Source organism: Homo sapiens, chromosome 6, assembly GCF_000001405.40.
Source record: "Homo sapiens chromosome 6, GRCh38.p14 Primary Assembly".
In the NCBI taxonomy this organism is placed as follows: Eukaryota; Metazoa; Chordata; class Mammalia; order Primates; family Hominidae; genus Homo; species Homo sapiens.
The window spans coordinates 6,863,282-6,871,177 of record NC_000006.12 but is presented as its reverse complement, the minus strand read 5'-3'; positions in this window follow the sequence as shown (position 1 = coordinate 6,871,177).

Genomic DNA, 7,896 nt, shown 5'->3' with positions numbered 1-7,896 from the left:
GGTGAGGTTTCTGAGTATCCCCCTTACGAAAGAGAAGGCATGTACTTCTGCAACTTCCTCCATTCTGCTTACTCAAACTTGAATGGGAGGGCAGCTATTTCAAACCATAAAGATGAGGGCTGTCCCCTAGGGATGGTAGAACTAAGAGCCAGAAAAGACTAAGTTCTCGATAATCATTTGGAACTGCAATAGTGGTCCTGGACTACCTATCTCTAGACTTCTTTTACATAGGGAGAAATATACTTCTCTGTGAAGCCACAACCTTTTAGGATTTTCTGTCACTTGCAGGTGAATATAAATCTGTTGGATACAATATTGTGTGCATGGTAGGTGGGCCGTCAGTGGTGAGCCGGGGCTGCCATTCAGGTAAGAACTGACTGTTAAATTTTCATGAATTTTGCATGCTGGTGAATGTCACGTTGGTAGCCTGAAATTGGCCATGGTGGGAGTATTTACACCACAGGAATTGGCAAATGCTACATACACATCAGGGCTTTATTTCCTCCAAGAGATCTGGTTATTGACTACTTACCATCTACCACCACATCACTGTGGGATTAAGGATTTTATCCACTAAAGTTTGTTCATATAGAGAGGTGATCTGACCTCTTCATTTACCCTCAATTTGTTCAAATTCTAAGTCATGGACTATATCGGACCTAGACTTCCATATTGTCTAATTCTGATCTTGAATGGAGGAAGCTTGAATGTTGCTTATAGGTCTGCTGTGGTCAGTGCTCAAGAGGTCAATAGTAAAAGAGCCTGCTCATCCCTCGCTGTGGGGATAATGATTAGAAGGGATGGGAAATTAGCATTCTGACTTTGCCATCGGGTGTGAGAAGCACTGAAGCTCACATACAAATAATTAACTTGCCAACCAGTTTTTCTTTTTCCTTTTAAAAGGTGGAAGCAGATAAGTTGGGAATAGATACGCCCACATTCAGAATTTACTGCTACAGCACAATTAATTATATTTAAACAACATATGCTGCATATTGATTAAGCACAAATGTAAACCCTTCATATAAATTAAGCTAATGAATTTAACTTTTCCATAGTCAGATCTTATCTTTAGTGATTCTTTTTCATATATTTCTATAGGTATAAAGTTGTCAGGTATAATCACTGTCAAATGGTTAACCATTTGCTTTGATATCCTTTCTGTTCAGTTAGTGTTCATGCGTGGTTTCACCTCAACCCAGGGAGACAGTCTCACACTTTAGGGGATGGATTAGTGTACCTTCATGGGACAGCAGAGGCTTTTGCATAGACGAGTTCTGTTGAAACTCTGGTTTCTCTATGCTTACAGCTGCCTAACCTTACAGTAACTTATTTAACTACTGTATCAGTTATCCATTGCTGCATAACAAATGATCTCAAAACTTAGTGACTTCAAACAACAATTTATTATTTCTCATGATTCTGGGGCTTGACTGACTGATTTTTCTGCTGGTCTTGCCTGGGCTCACCCAGGTCCCTGCATTCAGCTAGTGTCTGGGATGGAACTGTTAACCACAGAGTCTTGGTTTCTTCCCACGTGCCTTTTCTTTTCTTTTCTCTTTTTTTAGAGGGAGTCTCGTTCTGTCGCCCAGGCTGGAGTGCAGTGGCACGATCTCAGCTTACTGCAAGCTCCGCCTCCCAGGTTCACGCCATTCTCCTGCCTCAGCCTCCCCAGTAGCTGGGACTACAGGCGCCCGCCACCACACCCGGCTAATTTTTTGTATTTTCAGTAGAGACGGGGTTTCACGGTGTTAATCAGGATAATCTCGATCTCCTGACCTTGTGATCCACCCACCTCAGTCTCCCAAAGTGCTGCGATTACAGGCGTGAGCCACAGCGCCTGGCCCATGTAAAGCTTGAGCTTCCTTATAGCCTGGTGGCCTCAGGATTCAAGAGGGAGAAAGCAGAAGCTGCTGGTCTGCTGAAGGCCGGAGCTCAGAAGTCCCAGAGTACCTGCTCCTGCCTGATTGTGTGGTGAGAGCAAGTCAAAGACTCACAGGGAGGAGAAATAGGCCCCATCTCATGGTGGCAGGAGCTCTGCATGTCAGGGATGAGAGGAATTTTTGGCAGCTATATTTTCAGGCAACTGGCGATAACCCCTTTGAATCTCAATGCCTTTATTTGTGAAAAGGGGAAAATACATATTTTGCAAAGTTATTGTGAAAATTCAATGAAATAATGTGTAAGAAACTACTGACATAAACCTGATACATGCGATAGCTGCTCAATAAATGGCAGCTCCCCCTTCCTGCTCTTTCTTTGGGAGCTACTCAGATGTGGCCGCCTGCGGGGCTTCTATCCTGCGTCCGGTCTCTACCTCCCGGGCACACACAGGCCCAAGGCTTTGCGGACGTCTCAGATGTCTACAGATTGGGACGGATGATGTGAATTCTGAATATCAAAGCTGGAGGCTGTACGCTTGTTTGGGGGTCCTTGATGATGGGGCAGATATAAGGGGTGGCACAGAAGAGGGTATTAAGAGTGGGGTCTAGGAGCCCCATGTGAAGGGGTGTCCAGCAGATGCGGGAAAACACAGAGGCAGTCACTGTTATGCCTGGAACCTGCCTGAGAACCTTCTGCTGCCTTCTGATCTTAAAGAAGTAAAAGAAAATTCACCATGGCTCTCGGCAGGTGTGTGGCAGCGGGAGAAGAAAGAGAGAGAGTGAGAGAGAGAGAGAGACGTCTCCCCTCAGGGGATATTGAACAATGTCTGGAGACATATTTGGTCATGACCACTTTGGTTATCACAGCAGGGGGAGGGTTGCATCTAGTGGGTAAGACTAGGGATGCTAGTACCCACAGTACCCAGGACAGCCCCCACCATAAAGAATCTTCTAGGCCGAGGTCGAGAAACTCTTCTTTACAGCTATCCTGATTTCTGCTGGAGAAAGAGAAGGTGCCCTGCCCATTCCCCACCCACCATCAGATGAGATGTCCCTGACAGTTTGAAAACTCCTTTAACATTAGACAGGTATGGTGATGCGTTCCTGTAACTCGGGAGGTTGAGGCAGGAGGATTGCTTGAGCCCAGGAGTTCGAAACCAGCCTGGGCAACATAGTGAGACCTCATCTCTACCAAAAATTACAAAAATTAGCTGGGTTTAGGTCTACATGCCTGTAGTCCCAGTTACTCAGGAGGCTGAGGAGAGTGGATTGCTTGAGCCCAGGAGGTTGAGGCTGCAGTGAGCTGTGATCGTGCCACTGCACTCCAGCCTGGGCAACAGAGAGACACCCTGTCTCAAAAAATATAAAAATAAAAAAGTCCTTTAACAAGATACAATTTTTTCCATACCCTAATTAATAGAGTTAAAATTCTATTCACAGACTTCCATAGTGTGGGCCTCTGCATGCATGTGTTATGGTCAAAGGAGCTAGAAAGATAGAGGGAAGATGATTCTGGGTGGCACGGATTCAGTTATAACAAGAGTTTAACAGAGTTAATATCTATCGAGTCCTCACTGCATCTCAGGCCCTGGGCTGAACACATCAGGCACGTTTCTGATGTCAGCAGCCTGGTGGCCAAAGTTTTGTAGCCCACAGGACACACTCCACTTGAATATTTAAGTATTAATTACTTCCCTGGTGGGTGGGAACACCTTCCCTGGGTGCACTGTCTACAATTTACATAGAATATTGGGATGGGGTAGGGCTTACATGTCTTCTTGTGATTTATTTATTTTTAACAGCTTCATTGAGATATAATTCACATACCATCCAATGCCCCAGCTTCAAGTATATAATTCAATGGGTTATTAGCATAGCCACGGAGCTGTGTAACTATCACAATTGACTTTAGAGCATCTTCATCACCCTAAAAAGAAATTCCAGTATGATTTCAATTATATGGCATTCTGGAAAAGGCAAAACTATGCAGAGCGTAAAGGTTGGTGGTGGTTGCCGGGGGTTGGCTGGAGGGAGGCATGACTACACACAGTACAGGGCTTTTTAAGGGGGTGAAACTGCTGTGCATGACATCACGGTGCTGGATCCATGTCATGACACACACGTCAGAGCCCATAGAATGAACTGCACCAAGAGTAAACCCTGATGTCAACGATGAACTTTGGTGCTGATGATTAGCAATGTAGGTCCATCTATTCTAACAAATGGACCACTGTGGTGGGGGATGTGGATTATGGGGAAGGCTGTGTGGGGTGGGGGACAGCGGATATCTCTGTACCTTCCTCTCAGTTTCTCTGTGAGCCAAAAACTGCTCTAAAAAACAGTCTTTAAAAAGAAAAGAGATCCCATGCCTATGAGCAGCCACTCCTGTTCCCTCCTCCCCCAGCCCCAGCAACCACTAATTACTTTCTGTCTCTGTGGATTTGCCTATTCTGGACACTTCATGTGAATGGAATCATACACTATGTAGTCTTTTGTGGCTGGTTTCTTTCACTTAATGTTTTCAACGTTCATCCATGTTATGACATGTCTCCAAACATCATTACTTTTTTTCTTTTTCTTTTTTTTTCTTTTTGCCAAATGTAGTTCATTATATAGATATAGCACATTTTATTTATCCATTCAGCAGTTGATAAACACTTGGGTTGTTTTCACTTTTTGACTCTTATGAATGAATAAAGCCATTCTGAATATTTATGTGTAAGTTTTTGTGTGGAGTATGTTTTTATTTATTTTAGATATACCTAGGATTGGAATTGCTGGGTCATATGATTTAACCTGTTGAGGAACAACCAGACTGATTTTTAAAGCATCTACACCATTCTGTACTCCCACCAGCAATGAACAAGGGTTCCAATTCCTCCATATCCTGGCAAACACTTGCTATTATCTGTCTTTTTTCTAATTTTTTAATTTTTATTTTATTTTAGCTACTTCTGGTTACTTCTTGCTACATTAAAAAAAAAATTCTGGACCCCGCATGGTGGCTCACGCCTGTAATGCCAGCACTTTGGGAGGCCGAGGCGGGCGGATCACGAGGTCAGGAGATCGAGACCATCCTGGCTAACACAGTGAAACCCCGTCTCTACTAAAAATACAAAAAATTAGCCAGGCGTGGTGGCAGTCACCTGTAGTCCCAGCTACTCGGGAGGCTGAGTCAGGAGAAAGGCGTGAACCTGGGAGGCAGAGCTTGCAGTGAGCCGAGATCGCGCTACTGCACTCCAACCTGGGTGACAGAGCGAGTCTCCGACTCAAAAAAAAAAAAAAAATTCTGCTCAGTTCTGAATCTCACATCTTGCCTCTCATGTCTCTTCTCTACTTTCTGATTCACATTAAGTCAACAGAGTCCAATTTTTTGTCTTGTCCCCAAAGACAGTCGCATGTGGTAGATTTGCCAAATGATTTGGGGCTGCCAGTGGGAGTGGCTGGGGAGAGTCACTCCCATGCAGCACAGGGACAACTTAAAAGGAAGTGCTCATTTCTTGCAAGTTTCTTGCCATTGCAGACACGGGGACTTGTCTCGCTGGCCAGCTTTCCTCTTCAGAAGCGTGGCCTCCTTCCCTGTGCTGGTCCCCTCTCCCCCTCCACTGTCATTCATTTCTGGACCCTTGACCCATGCCCAAGGACTCACAATTCTTCCCATTCTGTCACGCAGAACTTGGTGGCTCCCCCATCTCACCCTTACCGCAGCAGCCTTAGCACAACCAACATATCTGATGCGTTGCTAAACTGGGTAGTTTCTTTGAGAGGAATTTGCCACCAGCTTTTTACCCCTGAAAAATTCCACACAATCAAAAGCAAAAAGGGCACATGATTCGATATTTCACCCGCTAACAAAGTTATAGAATAAAGAAAAAAATCTCTCTCTTCTCATCCCGGCCCACTCCCTAAAAGGGGCCATGATTAACTATCTGTTGGGTGTTCTCCACCTCTCTCAGGAAACTGTATGCCAGGCACACACATGTGTGTAGCATAAGTCATGATGGACATTGGTCTGCAACTTCCGTTTTTCACTTAATACGTTATGGACACATTTTCATGCCAGCTTCGTCCCTTTTAATAGCCTGGGCAGTCCATGACATATATTCACTATAATTTACTCTTTCATTTCCCTAATGACGGGCATGTAGGTTGTTTCCAAGCACCTCCTCTGAGAGGTACCTTTGCCTACCAGGACTAGGGCTAGGATAAGGCGGATGAGCATCTCAGGCACACCTAGGACACTTGCACAACCCTGAAAATGAATGCCTTCTCACATTTTGCCCTGGAGGCCTTCCTCTCCTGTTTCACCTGAGTCCTGGCCCTATTACCTACTGTGTTGCAAGCTTGCCTAGAGATAGATGGAATGAACTAGGGTTCTAATCTTCCCCTAAGTTATTCCTATTTATTGAGTTGTTTATCCTTTCCCCACTGAACCAAAATAGAACCTTATTCTATATTAAATTCTTACATATACTTGAGTTATTTGGGGTTATTTTATTACATTAATCCACTTACATTTACTATGCGAGAACCATATTGTTTTGGTTGTAACAGCTTTACAGTGCATTTTAATATACAACAGGGCAAAGATCTTATTGCATACTAATCTTTTTATAAAACTTCTGGGCAATTGTTGAAAATCTATTCTTTTGTATGAATTTTAGAATCATTTTGACCCATTCCACAAGTTTGTAAACTAACTTTAAAAAAAAAAGTCTAGCTCAGGCTTAGCTCAGCCTTCTGTAACAGAATAGCACAGTCCGAGTGATTTAAGCAACAAACATTTATTTCTCACCATTCTGAAGGCTGGCAAGCCCAAGATCAAAGTGCTGGCAGACCTGGTATCCGGGGAGGGCCCACTTCCTGGTGCGCAAATAGCCATCTTCATTGTATCTTCATATGGCCAAGAGAGCAGAGGTCAGGAGCAAGCTCTAGAATTGCTTTTTCATAAGGGCACTAATTCCATTCATGAAGGCTCTGCTCTCATGACCTAATAACCTCCCAAAGGCCCCACCTCCAAATACCATCAAGCTGAGGGTTAGGGTTTCAATTTGGGGGAATCTTGGGGAGACACACACATTCAGTCCATAACAAAAAGTCATGCACCATTTCCTTCAGTCTCACACTGACCTGATGAGTAAGCACTATAGATGAGGAAACCGATGCTCAGAAAAGTAACGTATAATGCAGTAGCTTTCAGTATAGTATAGAAGAGAAAAATGTAGTCAATAAGTCTTAAAATGTCAATAAGTCTTTTAACTCCAAAACATGTTCCCAGACATCCTTAAATGCTATAGAGACAATAATGAGTGAACGATCACAGACTCTGTGCATGGCAACCATGATTTTAGATCTTCAATGGGGAAGGAGTGTGGCTGATGGGACAGTCCTTGCCACCGCATGGTGGAATCTGTCACCATGACTGTGTGGAGGTCGTGCTTCTCACTGGCTGCTCCCAGTCAAGGATCTCCTGCAGCGGAACAGCAGACACAGCTGAGGGGCAGACTGACAATCTGATTATTAGAGTCACTGAGCTCCAGAGTCATTGGGAAGCTCAGTTCCTGTGAAGTTAAGGGCTCTGATGGGCAAAACCCGGGACCCTGAAACACAGATCCAGGGCTGAAGGAGTAGAAACAGGAATGCCTTACCATCCCTCCTGGTGACTCACTGGGAGATTCTGTGTTCCTGGTTCTCACAATTATGAGCTCTCTATGGGGTTAGAAGTCCTGGTGATAGTGAGGAACTGTAAGTTATGGCTGCCACGAGGACACCTTGGATTTGTGTCCGGGATCAGTGAGTGAGAAGAGTCACCAACGGGCAAGTGTTAGCCACCCTGACTGGAAGGAGGAGGAAGGGCTCCTTTTAAACAACGGGAAGGAGAGATTCATGTGGGACCCAGGGATCCACTTGGGTGCTTCTTGGGACCTTCTGCCTCATAGCAACTATGACTAGACACTCCTTGCAACCCCAGAATAAGAAGGGTATCAGGACCTTGCATGAATGAGGATAAGGT